Source organism: Homo sapiens, chromosome 2 (genome assembly GCF_000001405.40).
Source record: "Homo sapiens chromosome 2, GRCh38.p14 Primary Assembly".
Lineage (NCBI taxonomy): Eukaryota > Metazoa > Chordata > Mammalia > Primates > Hominidae > Homo > Homo sapiens.
Genome location: NC_000002.12, coordinates 190,358,595 through 190,378,832, shown reverse-complemented (window position 1 = coordinate 190,378,832; position 20,238 = coordinate 190,358,595). Strand labels below are relative to the sequence as shown.

General features: G+C 40.2%; 1 protein-coding gene across 8 annotated transcripts in view, besides 1 other annotated feature; it reads right to left on the bottom strand.

Moving 5' to 3' along the window:
* Positions 1 to 7,167: 7,167 nt before the first annotated feature.
* The window catches only part of INPP1 (inositol polyphosphate-1-phosphatase), a 28,077-nt gene continuing 15,006 nt past the window's right edge, over positions 7,168 to 20,238 (bottom strand). For 5 of the 8 annotated variants that reach the window (XM_047444192.1, XM_047444195.1, NM_001128928.2 and 2 more), the window contains 5 exons: positions 18,527 to 18,794; positions 16,146 to 16,206; positions 11,938 to 12,138; positions 9,556 to 9,730; positions 7,168 to 7,989 (listed from right to left, as the gene is read on the bottom strand). In XM_047444192.1, coding sequence (XP_047300148.1) covers positions 7,431 to 7,989; positions 9,556 to 9,730; positions 11,938 to 12,138; positions 16,146 to 16,206; positions 18,527 to 18,730 — 1,200 coding nt within the window. In that variant the 5' untranslated portion in view covers positions 18,731 to 18,794 and the 3' untranslated portion in view covers positions 7,168 to 7,430. Of the gene's footprint in view, positions 7,990 to 9,555; positions 9,731 to 11,937; positions 12,139 to 16,145; positions 16,207 to 18,526; positions 18,795 to 19,134; positions 19,188 to 20,238 lie in introns of all 8 variants that reach the window. The other 3 variants (XM_024452875.2, XM_047444194.1, XM_047444196.1) reach the window with 1 other exon arrangement.
* Positions 18,517 to 18,896: an enhancer, noted in NCBI's record as "active region_16859". NCBI's record gives its function as "activates an Ori minimal core promoter by ATAC-STARR-seq in GM12878 lymphoblastoid cells {active_cell/tissue: GM12878}" and the evidence as "EXISTENCE:reporter gene assay evidence [ECO:0000049][PMID:35858748]".

Genomic DNA, 20,238 nt, shown 5'->3' with positions numbered 1-20,238 from the left:
GTCAGGAGCCACAGCAAAAGATTGGCAACTGATACCCAGTACAATGATCTTCAGACTCTACTGAGTGTAGGACCCAGTCCTTAGGAACAGTTGGGCTGAGTCAGAGATGATGCTAAGTAGAAGCAGATGGCTGGCGGAGTAACAGGCAAAAGGAAGTGTAGAAAATGTATTAAAGGCTGGGCGCGGTGGCTCACGCCTGTAATCCCAACACTCTAGGAGGCAGAGGCGGGCGGATCACGAGGTCAGGAGATGGAGACCATCCTGGCTAACACAGGTGAAACCCCGTCTCTACTAAAAATACAAAAAATTAGCCGGGCGTGGTGGCAGCGCCTGTAGTCCCAGCTACTCCGGAGGCTGAGACAGGAGAATGGCGTGAACCCGGGAGGCGGAGCTTGCAGTGAGCCAAGATCGCGTCACTGCGCTCCAGCCTGGGCGACAGAGCGAGACTCCGTCTCAAACAAACAAACAAACAAACAAACAAAACAAAACAAAACAAAACAAAACCCTACAAATGTATGATTCCATTTATCTGAGGTACCTAGAATAGTCAAATTCATAGAGACAGAAAGTAGAATGGCGGTTGCCAGTGCCTGGTGGGGGGATGGGGGAAATAGGGAGTTATGTAATCGGTATGGAGTTCGGCAGATGAAGAAGTTCTGGAGATGAATGATGTCACTGGTTGTACAAGAATGTGAATGCACTTAATGTTACTAAACTGTACACTTAGGGTTAAAATGGTACATTTTAGGTTATGTATATGTTACCACAATTTTTTTAAGTGAAAAACCTGGCTGGGAGTGGTAGTTTATGCCTGTAATCCCAGCATTTTGGGAGACCAAGATGGAAGAATCACTTGAGCCCAAGAATTTCAGAACAACCTGGGCTACACAGTAAGACCCTGTCTCTACAAAATATGTTTTTAAGTAAAAAAAAATTATCAAAGATGCTTAAAGATAAGCAAATCTGAATGATTTGGGTTTTATACTTTTCTTTAGCTGGGTGGTTTATTGAAAGAACCAAAAAAAAAAAAAGTAAAATGGACATGAGTCAGGCACTAACAGACAAAAATTGAGGGTTTAAATCAGTGCTGTATAGAAATATAATGCAAGCCACACATGCAATTTTAAATTTTCTTGTAGCTATATTCACAAAAGCACAAAGAAACAAGTAGAACTAATTGTGGCAATATATTTGATTTAACCCTACATACCCAAAATACCATTTCACATTAGAACCAATATAAAGAATTATGATGTTCTTATTTTTAAATAAAATTTAAACATTATTTTAAAATAAAATCCAATGTGCATGTTCACAGCACATCTCAATTCAGACTAGCCACATTTCAAGTGCACAATAGCCACCTGAGGCTAGTGGCTACCATTTGGGCAGTGTAAATCTAGATTACCTGTAGATTAGATAATGATTCTCAGGATAATCTGCATAATCAGATCATAATCATTAGAATTTAAAGAACCATAGCACTAAACTGCCACATGCATGGCCTACCTCATGGTATATTAGTGTGATAAATTGATTTTTAAAAATCTGTCTTGGTGGAAAAAGAAACAGCTACAAATTTCCGAGTTTAATGACACTCCTGCCTATATCCTAAGGGAAATAATGTATGAACTCTGTCTTTTCATTATTTTGCCTACCTTGATACGGTTATTTAACCACATGATGAGTTTGTCCCAACACCTGTCCTACTAATTTACTATGGTCATAGTTTGAGCTTGTTTGAAAGATTGAGGGTGATAAGCCATCTTGACATAGAGCTTCCTGCTTTTAGAAATACTTGACCCAACGTGGGTGAATTTAAACATTGCGTCTCAGGCAACCCATTCTCAAATCCAGCTGGAAGGACTGAGCTTTTGCTATAGGGAGAAATAGCCAGTTTCCTTGTATTCTAGTTATTGTAAGCTCTCATTCTTTCTCTGTTCCATGAGAGTGGAAGAAAAGTGACTTAACCATTACTTTCCCCTCTTACCTCTTTATAGGGCTGATAGCCAGGACTTGAATATTAGCTTTGGTAATATGCCAATGCTTGTTCTGTCACAAAAGTCCATGGCTTACTTTCAACATTAAAGTGGTTGTTTGACATTGAGAATTTAACTGACCAACTGTAGGACTAATTCTCAGCATTATAGCAAAGGTTTCTGAAGTGTTTTGGAAATAATGGGTAGAAGTAAAGATGTAGTTGATACTGCATATTACTTCTTGTTCAGCTTCTGAGCCTAATTCCTTCTGTCCCCACTTATTTAACACTGACAATGTGCCTAGGCAATGGAGATACATAATATATGAAAATCCCTGCCTTTTTGAAGCCAACATTCTAGAGGGAGAGACTAACAAGACAAATTAACTTCTATAAGGAGGCCATGGGTACTATGGAGGGCAAAACAGGGAAGGAGATGGGATGTGCAGGATGGGGTGGGGAAAGGTGGGTGGCAATAAGTGAAGATCATACTGATACAGTGACATTTGAGCAAAGTTTTGATGGAGATGAGGGAGGGAAATGTGCTGATATCTGGAGAAAGGTTTCCAGTTAGAACAGCAAGTGCAAAGGTCCTGAGGCAGAGGAAGCATGCTTGGCAAGTTCAGGGCACAGCAAGAAAGGCAGTGTGGCTGTAACAATGTGAACAATCTTAGCCTATTGGGCTGCTATAACAAAATGTCATGAACTGAGTGGCTTTTGAACAACAGAAATTTATTTCTCACAGTTCTGAAGGGTGGGAAGTCCCAGATCTAAGCAGATTCAGTGTCTGGTAAGGGCCTGCTTTCTGGATTACAGACTGCACCTCTTGCTGGCCCTGACGTGGTGAAAGGGTCAAGGGCTCTCTCCCAGGCCCCTTTTATAAGGGCACTAATCCCAGTCATAAGGGTTCCACCTTCATGACTGGATCACCTCCCAAAGGCCCTGTCTCCTAATACCATCACCCTGGGGGTTAGGATTTCAACATATGAATTTGGTAGGGGAGGGATACAGATATTTAGACCATAGCAGAGAGTAAGAGAAGATGAGAAGGAAGGGTGGAATGTGGGCCTTATAGGCTATATGAGGACTTTGGCTTTTTCCCTAAGAGAGCCGAGGAAACATTTGGAAGCATTTTTTGCCTTTCCTTTTTAAATTTATTTCTTTTTATAGGTTTAGGGGCGTAAGTGCAGTTGTGTTATTTAAATACATTGTGCAATGAAGTCTGGGCTTTTAATGTACCCATTACCCAAACAGTGCACATTGTACTCCATAGGTAGCATCTCATCCCTTACCTCCTTTCACACTCCCACCTTTTTAAGTCTCCAATGTTGATTATTCCACTGTGTGTCCATGTGTACCCATTATTTAGCTCCCACCTTTATGTGAGAACCTGCAGTTTTGACTTCCTGTTTCTAAGTCATTTCATTTAGGATAATGGCCTCCAGGTCTATCCGTGTTGCTGTAAGAAACATGATTTTTTTTTATGGCTGAGTAGTATTCTATATGTATATACCGCATTTTTAAAAAATCTATTCCTCCGACGGTGGACACTTATGTTGAGTCCTTAACCTTGATATTGTGAAGAATGCTGTGATAAACATGAGTGCAAATGTCTTTTTGAGGTGATTATTTTGTTTTTCCTTTGGGTAGCCCAATAGTGGGATTGCTGGATCGAATGGTAGTTCTACTTTTAGTTTTTTGAGAAATCTCCATACTCTTTTCCATGGAGGTTGTACTAATTAATATTCCCATCATCAGTGTATAGGCATCTCTTTTTCTCCACATCCTTGCCAACATCAGTTTTTGTTTTTTTTACTTTTTAATAATGGCCATTCTGACTGGTGTAAGATGGTATTTTATTGTGCTTTGGAGAATTTTGAACAGAAGAGGGACATGATCTGATCTGTGTTTGAAAAAGATCACTCTGGCTTCTGTCTTGAGAATGAACAGTATGGAGGCAAGTTAGAAGTTTATTGCAATAATCCAGGTGATGCATAAAAAGGCATGGAGCAGGGTGGGGTATAGGACAGTGATGTGGAATAGCTGAATTCTGGATATATTTTTGAAAGTGGAGACCAGAGAGTTTCCTGAGTGATTGCATATAGGTTGTGAGAGCAAGAAAGGAAGGGATGTTGACTTGGATTCCCAAAGACTGCTCTTCTTGATGTGCAGTTGAGGCTCTCTTTGTACTACTCTGTGTCTAAGTGACCTGGCAGACTAATCTCTCTATCCATCCTCCTGTAAAACACAGACTGATGCAAAAGACACTTGACTTTCATGGCCAAGAGGCTCCTCTGTAGAACACCCCTCCATCACTACCTCCAACTCCTGTTCCCATCAGATAAATTGCCTGCATACCAAGAATTGTTGACCGGGTGCAGTGGCAGCACTTTGGGAGGCCAAGGCGGGTGAATCACGAGGTCAGGAGTTGGAGACCAGCCTGGCCAACGTGGTGAATCCCTGTCTCTACTAAAAATACAAAAAATTAGCTGGGCATAGTGGCAGGCATCTGTAATCCCAGTTACTAGGGAGGCTGAGGCAGGAGAATTGCTTGAACCCGGGAGGTGCAGGTTGCAGTGAGCCAAAATCACACCACTGCACTCCAGCCCAGGTGACAGAGTGAGACTCCATCTCAAAAAAAAAAAAAAATTGTTTACTTCTTTCCACAACTCTATATTCCAATTTTATTTCTAATAATTAAATTAATATAACGTAAAGTAATGGAGTGTGGGTTTGAAAACAAAGAATTGGAGGCTTTAGTAAGTGTGGGTAAAGGTGAACCAAAAAATTAGTTGGTAAGAAAACTGTGGCCAGGCGCAGTGGCTCATGCCTGTAATCCCAGCACTTTGGGAGGCCAAGGTGGATGGATCACCTGAGGTCAGGAGTTCGAGACCAGCCTGGCCAACATGGCGAAACACTGTCTCTACTAAAAATACAAAAATTAGCCGGGCATGATGGTAAGTGCCTGTAATCTCAGCTACTCAGGAGAGTAGCTGAGATTTATGCTCAGCTACTGAGGCAGGAGAATCACTTGAACCTGGGAGGCAGAGGTTGCAGTGAGCCAAGATCGTGCCATTGCACTCAAGCCTGGGTGACAGAGCAAGACTCTGTCTCAAAAACAAACACCACTGTAAAAATGGAATATTTTTAAGTTCTTCCTCTACAGAAAATAAAACTAGAAATCATAGTCACCTGGTTGTGGCTTCTGCAAGAAAAACAATGCAGACCCATCAGAGGCACATGCTTAAAGAAAGGGCTTTGGCTTTTCTGCAAAGATTGATGGTGAATAATATACATTATAGATGTTCACAGAATATAATGATTCCCTCTTCCATCCAGCTTTTGACCCCTCCAATTGAGAAATTTGAGCCCTAGGAGTTCGAGACCAGCCTGGGAAGCATGGCAAAACCCCATCTCTACTAAAACACAAAAATTAGTCAGGCATGGTGGCATGCACCTATAGTCCCAGCTACTTAGGAGGCTGAGGTGGGAGGATCGCTTGAGCCCAGGAGGTTGGGGCTGCAGTGAGCCATGATCATTCCACTGCACTCCAGCCTGGTGACAGAGTGAGACCCTATCTCAAAAAAAAAAACAAAACAAAAAAAAAAAAAAAAAAAAAAAACGAAAAGAAATCAGTATGTTAAAGAGATACCTCCACTCCCATGCTCATTTTGATATTATTGACAATAGCCAAGATATGAAATCAACCAAGATATGAATGAATGGGTAAAGAAAATGTGGTATTAATATGTATACACAATGGATACTATTCTGCCATAAAAAAAGAAATCTTGTCATTTGGATGACCCTGAAGGACATTGTTAAGTAAAATAAGCCAGGCACAGAAAGACAAATACCACACGGCCTCACTTACACATGGAAACTGAAAAAGTCAAACTCACAGAAGCAGAGAGTAGAATGGTGGTTATCAGGGGCTGGAGTGTTTGGGAGATGTTGGTCAAAGGATAGAAAATCCTAGTTAACAGGAAGAATAAGTTCAAAAGATCCTATGACGTGGTGACTATAGTTAATAACAACGTATTGTTTACCTGAAAATTGCTAACAGATTTTAAGTGTTCTCACTACACACACACACAAAAAAATGTAAGGTAATGTTAGTTTGATTTAGCCCTTCTGCAATATATACATATGTCAAAGCATCATATCATATGACATAAACATAATTTGTCAAAAATTTTTAAGTGTAAGGACATTAGAAAATAAGATTGTTATTTTCATGCATTTGTAAATAGAGGATCTGTAGAAACATCCTTTGGCCCCCAGGGGGCGTAGGGCAGAATGAAGTCAGAGCCGAGGATTTGATCCCTGCAGTTGGCACTCTCTGGTTACCAGGCCTGCCACAGAGAATACAGAAAAAGTACTTTATGTCCACTTCAGAGAACATTCACTGTGGGATGCTGGTACACAAGGGTTGTATATATCTAAAGTCCACCTCTGGTTTTTGGTAAAGTGTAGTAAATATGCAAAAATTGCAGAAACCTCTACTCATTGTACTCTTTTGCTTCTGTGTGTGTATATGTGTCTTTCTGTTTGTCTGTGTCTTTCACTGTGTATGTGTGTGTGTGTGTGTGTGTGTGTGTGTGTGTGTGTGTGTATCCCTGTCTCTCCCTGTCTCTGCAAAGGGGGAGCCCACAGTGTTCCAGGCTTTACTTCCTATAAGAAATACAAGAATACTGTTAAAAGTACATAAACTTGGCTAACTTACGCAGATTAAGTTCTAAATGTTCTGCCAACAGGCTAAAATTGCAGATTTTTCCCTTCGAGAGGAAACAAAACTCAAGCAAACCCCTCCTGTATTCTCCCTTATATTTCAGAGAAATTTCTATCGCTTAGATGTTTAGCATAGTTTTACTAATTTAACAGGATTTTTTCCTCGTTCATCAATTTTTTTTTTTTTTTGAGACAGTCTCGCTTTGTCACCAGGCTGGAGTGTAGTGGCACAATCTCGGCTCACTGCAACCTATGCCTCCCGGGTTCAAGCGATTCTCCTGCCTCAGCCTCCTGAGTAGCTGGGACTACAGGCACACACCACCAAGCCCAGCTAATTTTTATATTTTTAGTAGAGATGGGGTTTCACCATGTTGGCCAGGATGGTCTTGATTTCTTGACCTCGTGATCCGCCCGTCTTGGCCTCCCCAAGTCCCGGGATTACAGGCATGAGCCACTGCTCCTGGTCAATATTTTATTGAAATGTTTCAAGCAGCACTAACAGCACAATATTCACTGTAAGAATTTCATACACCAATATAATTGCTGCATGAATGTCATTTATTGAAATTAACATTATTATGAATACATAATGGAAAAATACTCCTCAAAAGAGGAAGGTGAATGTTAACCAGCAACAGGACAAAGCCATCCTCAAAAGACAGAGATAACCGAAACAGTTTCACAGTTCAGTTTATACAGGTACACCGGGGTTAGAGTTCCTCTAGGTATGCGTCTCTGCAGGTGCCAGGTTTTGGACCAGGAGGCTCAGGAATGTCTCCAGCCGCTTCCTGGATCTGTATGCAATGAGTCCTCCCTTGTTGGCCCACCGATCCACCCCAGCAGCACCCTCATTTTCCACGTGGTACACCAACTGTGGCAAATCAAGCCCTGTTTCTGGATTTCTTTCTAAGCATTCTTTCAAGTCTACTATTCCCCCACCCATGGCCCTCAGTATGGCATGAGCAGCACAAGAGTCCCATTTGAATGTGGTATCTTCTGAAAAGATGTAAATGTCAACGAGGCCTTGGACAACACATAGGCTCTTATAACCAGCCCCAGCTGCCCCAAATATGCGATCTCCACACACACGTGACAATGCAGCTTTGATAGTCTCCTTTTCACTTGTACTAATTACGGCTGAAAAACTGGGGGAGAATGCTGCCTCAGAGCCGGTGTTTCCAGTGTGTGTTTCACTGCCGTTTCTTCTAGAGATGGTGAGCTGTAGTGAATGCATGTTGGTCCCCATGTAAGAAAGGCCCCAATAGCACTGTCCTTTCCACCTGTAGAAGAAAAATTTCAATTGGTGATGATTATCACATTTGTTTTTCATTACTCATGTCACTTTCAAACTTAATGATACGAAGAAATACACAATTCATCATAACATGGTGAATCTTAACACCTTTAAGTCTAGGAATAGATATCAGGTAGCTAGTTTATTTCAGAAAGTTACTTATATGCATGCAGCTGCCTGAGTTGTTGCAATTAGAAATGCTTTCAATTTTATGGCATTATCACATCAATCTAGGACAACACTAAAACATTTATGGGGTTTCCAGCTTCCAGAACCATTGCAAAATTTCATTACAACTTTTAGTATTTAAAGTTTAGTAGGGAAAAAGGAATAGAAAAGTGATATCTCTTTTTGATCTGCAAATATTCTACAATCCCTATAACAAGTTTTTCTTTATTTGGTAACTCCTTTTCATTCTCTTATTCACTAGTTTCACGTTGGCTTCCAACACAAAGAAAGATGGACTCAATGTTATTAGTTTTGGCAACCACAATAATTATAGCACCTTCCCTTTATCAATGCTTAACTTACTGTCTATGTTGTTACATATTTACAGATAAGGAAACAGGCTTAGAGAAAGTAAGTAGCTTGCTGAGGCCCACTCAGCTAGAAAGTGGTAGAATCTGCATTCAAACCCACAAAGTCTCACTCTGAATCTGTGCCATAAACTATTTTGTTGACCACCTCCATTTCTAGGCCATGATTATGTCTGCATATTGTTCCAATTCTTTTTAATTTCTTATTAACCTTTTAAAGATAGCAGAAACCTATTTTTAGTTTGGAAGATGGTGGGGGTAGGGGGAAAATATTAAAACTTAAGAGGTATAAACTTATGACTATTAAAGAGCAAATGATTGTTACTTGAAGCAGCTCAGGTTCAATAAAAATATGTAATCCTATATAAGTGAAAAAATATGACCTATTTCAATAAAAAGCTGAACTGCTTGTTCCACCTGGACTTTGCCATGCCCTGGAGTCAACCCCAAAGCACAGGCCATGGATCAGAGGCAGCTGAGTCCTGGCCACTTTCTACGCTCTGTTTAAGAGTGCATGGAAGAGTGGAAGGGAGGAGGCAGAAAGGGAGTGTGAGTTAGGTTCTGATCCTGGCCATGCCTACCAATCTTTTCATTGGATAATTTTCACATTTTGTTTTGAACTTCTAAAATTATACCAAAGTTCAACTGGCTATACAGCGATGGCAGCTGTCTTATTCCCAATGTATTGGAAGGCAGTGTTACCACCACTCTACTTATCTGGTTTTGAGTGGATTCTAGAAACAGGGAACAGGATTACTATATTCCAAATGTAAAACTATGATTTCTACAGGATAGTATTAATTTTAAAATTTCTACCAGCATGCACTTGGCCTGAAATAAAATTACGCAAATCCAAGATTGAAAATAGAACTTTAATTCAAATACGCAGACTTTCAATGGCAACACTCCCATGTGTTAAGTCATGGGAATGTCATATAGTGATAATCCTAACAACAAGCAAAGCTGAGGTCGTAAGTTCTAACAACCATAATATACCAAAAATATTTGCCTTTTACCTGAGGGTGTTTGGATCTCGTGACACAAAAGGTTGATTGATGACTCCCATCAGGGGAACCCCTGTCTGTATGTCATAGACACCAATTAAAATGGTGACACACTGAAGTCCACAGGGGAAGATTCCCTGGTTGGATTTAATGTCAGCAGAACCTTTTATATACTGATAAGTTGAATCTGAAAAAGGAAACAAATGTGTTTGGATTCAGGTAAAGATCATTTAGAAGACTCTGTTCCATATGACTTCTCTCTTCTACTGATTTGGTAACCAATAATTTTTTACCTTTGGATGTCACTGTATTGAATTGTTATTTGGCCTCTTGTACTTTACTTTTAAATTGCTTGTGTTTCATTTTCCTGACTGTGAGAACTCTTGAAGGGAGAGGATGTGTCTATAGTTCCTGTGGCATAGCAATTTGTATATAACAGGCATTCAAATATTTGTTACTTATCAAAAGCATTGAAAAAGTAATAACCAGAATAATTGGTGGGATTATTTTAGAAATACTACTAATCAGAGGACTAGTACAATGTGAGATGGAAAAGCCTCCTTCCAATGGGTGAAAAAAAAAGACCTACTATTTGATAGCACAATAGGGTAACTATAATCAATAAGAACTTAACTGTACATTTTAAAATAAAGAGTGTAACTAGATTGTTTATTACTCAAAGGATAAATGCTCAAAGGGATGGATACCCCATTCTCTATGATGTGCTTATCTCACATTGTGTGCCTGTGTCAAAACATCTCATCTACCCCATAAATATATACACCTATTATGTACCCACAAACATTTTAAAAAGGAAAAGAAAAAAAGAAAAGCCCCCCTCCTGTAATAGGTCACAGGTAATATTATCTTTTACTATTATTATTTGGTCCCTCAAGTTAGAAGGAAGAAAGAGACAATGATGGTGGCACCAAAAAAAGAAATTAACGGAGCTCCTATGAAACAGAGGCAGAGAAACTAGGTTTCCCCTTAAGAGATGTACATGCCAGCAGCTGACTGCTGACGTCTAGGGAGTCAACACACGGCTAAGGATGTGCCTGGCAAAAGACTCAAAGAGCTCAAAAACAGAATCAATTCAGGGTGGAACCAAGAAACAGGAGATCTCTGTCCCTCAGAAACTATAACTGATGCCAATTTACCCTTAAATGATCAAAGATTTGGGGAAAGGTTTTTAGTTTCCATATATCATCCACTGGCTGAATGTGATATAATTATCTGAAGATTAAACCCATTTCAGTATCATCCTGTGAATGCACTTGTAGGATGGGAAGGGCCCAGAGAGGAGTTTGCCTGGTCCTTGAATGGTCCCATTGTGTTGGGTGGGGAAGAAAAAAAAGGAAGGGGGAGCTTATTAAAATTATTACCTAGAACTTGTATTAATAGCATCATTGAAGATAAAGGCTGGCTGGGCATGGTAGGTCATGCCTGTAATCATCCTAGCACTTTAGGAGGCCAAGGCAGGCAGATCGCTTGAACCCAGGAGTTCGAGACCAGCCTGGGAAACATGGTAAAAACCCCTTCTCTAAAAACAATATAAAAAATTAGCCTAGTGAGGTGGCATGCAACTCTGCCACCTACTTGGGTCCCAGCTACTTGGGAAGCTGAGATAGGAGGATTGCTTGAGCTCAGGAGGACAAGGCTGCAGTGAGTGAGTTCTGACTGTGCCACTGCACTCCAGCCTGTGTGCAACACGAGACTCTGTCTCAAAAAAAAGGGTTACATTTTCAAAACAATGGATTATACATTATGGTTCTATCACAATCATGACCAAAAAAAATGTAGAGCTCATGCAGGGCTCACAAACTGCTCATGCGTCACATTCAGCTTTTTGCTTGACCTGTACTGTGTTTTTTTGATTGTTTCCTTCTTTAACTGAATTAGTAGCTAACGGTTAGAAATTGGGATATATCGCTGAAAACCTTGGATTTTGGTTTCTCTTTAAAAATCTGAAGAGCTGGCCTGTACTCCCATATGGTAACAATCTGCTAAAGCTAAGTGCTCTTTAAATGGTATGTGTGCTCAATTGGTCATAACTGCTCTCACTTCATTCTCTCATTTACTTACCAGTCTGGTCCCTGAAGTCTTTTGAAGAGAAGTTAATTCATCTTTGCATGTGTGCCTGTATGTATGTGTGTGTATATACACACACCTGTTATAGATATGTATATATATACACACGGCTATAATATATATGTATATATACAGAACACATGACACATACACCTCAACTCTCATTGTTTTAAAACTTTAAAATTTTAAAAACTTCTAGCAGAGTTAAACTACACTCAATAATTTTTATTTTTCCAACACCCATCCCCAACCCCACCACCAAAAAAAAGATTGCAAATAAGAACAAACATACTTTCCTATACTTACCTATGGGGTCCACCCAAATTCCCAAAATGTCCTGTGGAACATTGATCTCTGTGGAATCCAGAGTTGGGTCAGTAAAGGCAACATCCTGATGAACAACCCTGGCTAATGCTTCAGATGCCACCTTGTTACCATTGAGGACTTTGCTAAGAAGCTCTGCTGTTTCCTCCTCTGTTGAACACAACCTCAAGGTAATCTTTTCCCCTAGGGTAAAGCCACACGATAAGCCATTACATTTCAAGAGTTTCAGTGGAGAAAGAACAGAGAGAGAGAGCTAAAGAGTGAGAGAGACAGAGAGAGCGAGAGAGAGAGACAGAGAGAGAGCGAGAGACACAGAGAGCGAGACAGAGCGAAAGAGCGAGAGAGACAGAGCAAGAGAGTGAGAGAGAGACACACAGAGAGAGCGAGAGACACAGCAAAAGAGCGAGAGACAGAGAGAGCAAGACAGAGAGAGTGAGACAGAGTGAGACAGAGTGAGACAGAGTGAGAGCAAGAGAGACAGACAGGGAGAGTGAAAGAGACAGAGCAAAAGAGTGAGACAGAGCAAGCAAGAGAGAGACAGAGCGAGAGAGTGAGACAGAGAGAGTGAGACAGAGCGAGAGAGACAGAGAGCGAGAGAGAGACAGGAAGAGTGAAAGAGACAGAGGGAAAGAGTGAGACAGAGAGCAAGCAAGAGAGAGACAGAGCGAGAGAGCGAGACAGAGCAAGAGACAGAGAGCAAGAGACAAAGAGCGAGAGAGACAGCGAAAGAGCGAGAGAGAGCAAGAGAGACAGAGCGAGACAGAGAGCGAGAGATTCAGGGAGAGACTGAGAGAGACAGAGTGAAAGAGACAGAGAGACAGAGAGAGCAAAAGAGTGAGACAGAGAGCGAGCGAGAGAGAGCGAGACAGAGCGAGAGAGCGAGAGAGAGCGAGACAGAGCGAGAGAGCGAGAGAGAGCAAAAGAGTGAGACAGACAGTGAGCGAGAGACAGTGAGACAGAGCAAGAGAGCGAGACAGAGCAAGAGACACAGAGAGAGACAGAGCAAGAGAGACAGAGAGCGAGAGAGACAGCGAGAGAATGAGACAAAGATTGAGACAGAGAGAGCGAGAGAGCAAGCAAGAGAGACAGAGAGAGAGTGAGCCAGTGAGAGAGTGAATCAAAAGCTGTGCACTTAGATTGAGGGCAATATATCCATCCCAGCAGTTCCTATGCCTGGCTGACTGCCAGAATCACCTGGTGGGGCTTCATCAAGTCAGATGCTCAGTGGCTACCCAGGCACTTAACCTGAATAGTAAGAGATGGGTTTCAGGAATCAAAAGACCTCCCTAGAAAAATGCCCATGTGGGCACAATTTTGTATCCCAGTTAAGGGATACATAGGCCAGTTAACAATTCCTGAATTCCTGATCATTAATCTTTTTAAAATTTGTCTTTTGACTTTTTATATACTTAAGTCACCCTGTCCGTGTCTGAATATGTTATTGAAAAGAATGGAGGTTTTTCAACACACCGAAGTGCTTCTACCTCCTTATATGATATTGCTTTTAACTTAAAATTGTTTATGCTAAGTAACATAAAATGGTATATACCAATCTTTAAATGTAGTAAAACTTTATGCCTCTAAATGGTATACATATAAATAGCTCTCCTCTGTGGAGCCCATTGAGAACCAGAACATAAGCAAAGCTGCTTCTTCAAATGAAACGATAAGTTACCGAGGCCAGGTGCTTTACCATCGCTTTAAACATGCTTCTTAGACCCTTGATTAATCTGGTTTCAGCCCTTGACAGAAGTGAGGGAAGAGGCTGGTAAAAAATAGGCAAGTTAATAGCAACAAGAAGTGACAGCAGTGGAGGAAAAAAAATCTTAAAAACTAAGAAAACATGGCACTTTGGAACGTTTTAGATACTCCTAGCTATCTAGTAGCTATCTAGGTAGCTACTTCTACCCTTCTTATTCCAAGGACCAGCAGTGTCTATATCAGCTGGGAGCTTATTAGAAAGTCAGAACCTTAGGCTGAGCGTGGTGGCTCATGCCTGTAATCCCAGTACTTTAGGAGGCTGAGGTAAGCAGATCACTTGAGGTCAGGAATTCAAGACCACCCTGGTCAACATAGTGAAACCCCTGTCTCTAATAAAAGTATAAAAAAATTAGCTAGGCGTGGTGGCAGGTAGCTTAGCATGTCTGTAATCCCAGCTACTTGGGAGGCTGAGGCAGGAGAATCGCTTGAATTTGGGAGGCGGAGGCTGCAGTGAGCCAAGATTGTGCCACTGCACTCCAGCCTGGGCAACAGAGGGAGACTCCATCTAACAAAAAAAAAAAAAAAATCAGAACCTCAGATGCCACCCCAGACCTACTGAAATTTTTTTTTTTTTTGAGACGGAGTCTTGCTCTGTCACCCAAGCTGGAGTGCAGTGGTGCGATCTCCGCTCACTGCAAGCTCCGCCTCCCGGGTTCACGCCATTCTCCTGCCTCAGCCTCCTGAGTATCTGGGACTACAGGCGCCCGCCACCACGCCCGGCTAATTTTTTTGTATTTTTTAAGTAGAGACGGGGTTTCACCGTGTTAGCCAGGATGGACTCAATTTCCTGACCTTGTGATCCACCCGCCCTGGCCTCCCAAAGTGCTGGGATTACAGGCGTGAGCCACCGCGCCCGGCCGACCTACTGAATTTTAACCAAGATCCTGAGGCGATTACATGACCAGTAAAGTGTGGGAAGCACAATATACATCTATTACAGTGATGACTGAATCAGCAAGAAACAGTCAAATTTAGTTAAATTAACTTAATTCAAAGTAAATTAGACTGTTAAAGTTGGGGAATAATAAAGCTAATAATGGCTACTTACTGCACACCTACTCTGGGCTCAGTAAAACTTATGGGATCATTCAAAGGAAGAAATTATATCACTCCTTTGCTTGAAATTTGCCAGAGACCTCCCATCCCACTGAGAGGGAAATCTAAATCCCTTCCTATGATCTGGTCTTGCCTGCAATATCATCATCACCATCTCTCCTCTTCCTCTCTCCACATTTCTCTGCCCTTTTAACAAACAGGAAAATGGATGTGGCTATGCCTTTTGCCTCTATAATTCTAGACAAATGATGTATTAAAATAGCTGTTTGTGAAGTAGTCAAGCGTAGATTTTTAAATGTAAGATTGCTTATAAGTCAGGCATAAGTGTTATTTTTAACCTTCAGAGGTTTAAAAGATTTCTTTCCCGTATTACTAACATAGAACTAACTGCATCTTAATATGTGGTGCATGAAGGAGACTAAAAAATTTTCAGAGTTAATCTAGAAACTCATTTTTTCTTTGTAATTGTGTTTCTAGATATATAAGTATTTGTCACATGATCAGTATTTAATGTTCACTATTTTATTCTTCTACTATTAAATCCAAACAAACTAAAAAAAAAAATTGTTTCTCTGAAAGAAATCAGATTACCTGAGGTCAGGAGTTTGAGACCAGCCTGGCCAACATGGTGAAATCCCATCTCTAACTAAAAATACAAAAATTAGCCAGGTGTGGTGGCACATGCTTGTAATCCCAGCCACTCAGGAGGATGAGGCAGGAGAATGGCTTGAATCCAGGAGGTGGAGGTTGCAGTGAACCGAGATTGTGCCACTGCACTCCAGCCTGGGCAACAGAGCAACTCTGTCTCAAAAACAAACAAACAAACCAAAAAACTTAGTACTAAAAGGAATCTTTTAGTTAATCCAAGTACTTCACAGAGGTTCTGAGACTTAGAGAAATGATGAGTTAATTTGCTCAAGATCACACAGTATTTCAGAACCATGGCCACCTCTGTACTTTTAGCCAAGGTCCATGGACTTCCCCCAAGAGCGCACAGATGGGTTTAAACCTAGGATCTGAAATTGTCTGCATAATTTTGTAGATGGGCATCTTTGGGGCATTAATAACTTACATTAGATTCCCAAAGGGCCATGCAATTTTCCCAAAGCTTGAGTTATAAGTTACTTAAATGCCACAGATTTATATCTAAAATGATACATGGACTTGCTAAATTATTCTAAGATACCACATCTCTCTACTTAAGTTAAATGGCATGATATTCTGAGGTAGAAATTGAATGAACCTTAACATTCAAATATATTATGTTGTTTACAGTAAGTGGCTTCCAAACATTTAGTTCATGGTATAAACTAGAGACTAGAATACCATATGATAATTAAATTACAAAGACACATTAAGATTCTTATACTTACCCCAGTCATTAGTAAACTCATTGGATTCTTCTCCAAAAATATTTTTTTCCAAGCCTGGAAACTGAATGATTCAGAGTATGACGAAAAACAAAACAAAAACCCACACATATGCTCAATTCTGAACAGATTTCAATTTTATATTTCAAATTAAATAGCACAATCAGAACTGAAATTCCAAAATTTCCAATTCTAGAAACCAATCCAAGTATAAAAAAACGAAGTCAACTTGGCTCAGTGCTTAATTTTCTAATATTTTTCTGTTCTTTTGCCCCTCTAGAAAGTCAAAATCATGGTAGATGCCTGGTTCCCTTATGTCCTGTTTAGTTTGCAAAAGTACTTCTAGAAACTTCATCCTTCTACTTAAGGGCCATAGAATTCGAATATTTGCAAAGGACATGTTTTAACTATTGCTCTTAAACAACATCCCAGTAGCTTATACAAGGCAATTTCGTTGATCAAGTATCTAAAAGCACGACTTGAGACTGGATAGAAGGAATTAGAGGATAGATAACATTCGATTTTGTTTTTATTTTCAGGCGTTTGTTTCCCCACTCTCAGATGTATCATCATTCAGGCTAGGAAGGGGATATGAAAAAAGAGAAAGATTTTATTGGCCAATAATTTAAGTATCAATATATAGAGTGAATAAATGGAGTCAAGTAAGAATCTTCTGTCATCTCTGTATGATCACGAAGCTTTCTGATGCATTTTGCTTCTGATCCTCTCTGTAATAAAGATAATTTTTCTCAAAATATGTCCTAAATTTTGATACACATATTCTCAGGGAACAAAAGCAAGGACGTGCTTCAAATATTTGAACTCGGTCATTTGCAGATGACCAATAGCTTTAATAATGCCCACAACACTTATTATTCATATTATTTTGTGGGACAGTACAAATCAACAAGGGCTGGCAACCAGCCCATTCATCAAGGGCTGAAACTCAGTCTCCCAAGCCTGCTTAAAGACCAGTTCTGAGATTACAAGACAAAAGCCTCATGAAATAAAGATATTTTATACAGCTAAAATGGAATATCATTTATTTTAGCTCATGAATAAACAACTGCCTGAAATTTTTATAATGCTTTGAGGCAAATATTAGCCCATAAAAATTAATGTTGATACATTTTTAATCCAGTTGCTCAACCATCCCTTGCACCCAACTATATTGATAAGTAAAAAAGAAAAATAAATTTGCTTCATTTAGTTTATCGGAGCAAGATTTTATATGACATGAAAAAGTATAGTTTGTAGAGATTTCATGATGGCATTTCATCTCTTCGCCTGTGGTCAAGATTTCACTGAAACGATTCTAAATGATTCTCAATATTTTGAAAATTTCATAGAAATTATTTCAATATTTTATAATGCTTTCTGCCATAAAGTTCTATTCTCCCAAATGTAATGGTTAGATTATCATATAAAAGGCAATATAATATTGCAAAGAACACAGACTCTGGAGCCAGTCTGCCTGTGTTCAAAAACTGGCCCTACCATTTACTTGATGTGCAACCTTAGGCAAGTTACTTAACCTCTCTGTGCCTCCCTTTTTTCACCCATTGCATTGTAATAGTAGTTCTTCATCAAATTGTTATAAGAGCTAAATAAGTTAATATATTTAACGACGACTTTAGAATAGTGGCTGGCACATAGCATTTATAAGTGCTGCTAGTATTATTATTTCTACTTATTAATACGGTTTCTCTAGTCAGCTCCAGAAAGAGTCGTAATCATTGTTATATTAACATATAAACATCTTTGTGTGTTTATAACAAAGAACAGTATTTTTCTACTAGAATAAAGGAGACTTTAAGTCTCCAGCTACAATCTCATAACTGAAGAAACCACTAGATAAATGATGAGATCCACAAGGTAGGACTTAACATATCAAGTTAAAAAAAAAACAGGTTACAAAGCAGTGTGCTCTTATTTCTGTTGCAATACATTGTATGTGTCATGTACACACATACACATAGAAGGAAAATGTTATAATATTTATCAAAGCATAGCTGTGGTTTTCTCCAGTGGTGGGACTAAGAGGGTTCTTATTTTTGCTTATTTTCCAGAAAACATGTATTATTTATTAAGAAGAAATTCATTAGTAAGTGGAAGGTTCTATACTGAAGTGTTTATTTCTAGGTATTAGAATTGTGAGTGATTTTTATTTTCTTATTTCATTTTCTGTATTTTAAAGATTTCCTGCAATGAACATTTTATCAATACTGTAATCATGACAAGGAGGAAGAAAATCCAAGATGTTTACTTGAAATCAAGGTGCTAGTATACTGATAGGGGTGAGGAGCAAAAGGCATGCTATTCTATGATGGAGAAAGCCACAGATGCAACTATTTTGCAGTTACCTTGGCTATGACCTTTCTTACCTTGTTCTCCATATTCTGTTTTATAACTTCCTGTACCAGTACATCAGCCAGCGTCTTGAAGTCAACTGCAAACTTCTTGTTCTTTTCTCCCTCTTTCTTTTCTTCGATCAGCAGCTGGAAGAGGGCTTCCTGCTGTCTGCACGCCCGGGCAATGTTAGCAGCCTTCTCAGAGACACAGAGCAGCTCCCGGAGGATATCTGACATTTCTGAACCTTGCTTTTCAGTTGCAGCTGCTGGTGGAATTGGCACCCACCCTCTGGGCCGTCAGCTGGAAAAATACAAGAATGTGAAAGAGAAAGCAGTTCAGAGAGTGATGTCAGGGTGCCTCTGGCACTACTAACAACCCATTTGGCAGTCAACCTGGTCAGCCTGGTGAACAGCTAGTCTATATCATATTCACATCCTCAGTGTGGAAGACTCTAGATACAATCTAACATTTGAAGCTTATTGTTTTAAATCTTGAAAAAAAATTTACACTCTCAAAAATATACCAAGAATTAAATTCTCAGTGACAGAAAAATCTTTGAATGAAAATCTAAATCCCTAGAGAGACAGGCAGATGGACACACAAGCACAATGCTAAAGGCAAGTCAAATTCTTGTAATGACCTTAGAATGATCATATGCTTAGCAGCAATATTGAAGTAGTGCTTTCTTTCACCCTGTGGGAAGAAGGGAGAAGAAATGGATGAGGACTTATGCTGTCAGTTCCAGGGCAACTTTCTTTTTTCTTTCTTTTTTTTTTTTTTTTGAGACGGAGTCTCACTGTGTCACCCAGGCTAGAGTGCAGCTGTGCGATCTCCGCTCACTGCAAGCTCCACCTCCCGGGTTCACGCCATCCTCCTGCCTCAGCCTCCCGAGTAGGTGGGACTACAGGCGCCCACCACCATGCCTGGCTAATTTTTTGTATTTTTAGTAGAGACAGGGTTTCACCGTGTTATCCAGGGCAACTTTTCTAAAGTACTAAGTACCAGACCAGCTAGCACCTTTTTTGCTGTTTTTGTTTTTGAGACAGGGTCTCACTCTGTCACCCAGGCTGGAGTGCAGTGGTGTGAACACAGCTCATTGCAGCCTTGACCTCCTGGGCTCAAGTCATTTTCCCACCTCAGCCTCCTGAGTAGCTGGGACTACAGATGCATGCCACCACGCCAGGCTAATTTTTGTATTTTTTGTGGAGATGGAGTTTTACCATGTTGACCAGGCTAATCTCAAACTCTTGCGCTCAAGTGATCCTCCTACCTCGGCCTCCCAAAGTGCTGGGACTACAGGTGTGAGCCACTGCGCCCAGCCTCAGACCAGCAAGCACTGTGTGTCCTGCAAGGCCCTGAGGTCATTCTTAGGCTAGTAGCACAAGCCATCTCATTGCCAACTTCCTCACACCCCGTTAAAAAAAAGTCCCACTATCTATGCTGCTCCTTTACCCAGTAAACGGTTGAATAATGAGGTGAAACATGCAACTTGTTGAGACTTGAAAAGTTCTGGCTTCTAAGAGTGTTATGCTATCATACCTTGATTATATCTGTTGGGGCTTTCCTGCAATTAGGAGAGAAACAGTTCTCATTTTTAATAATAGCTACCTCTTACTGGAAAAGCTTGAAAAATTCCTATCTCATGAGAATTATTGTATTATCAACCCTGTTTTATAGTTAAGCTGAAGTATAGCAAGGTTAAGTAACTTCTTCAGGGTTACAGAAGGCTAAACTGCAAGGCTTG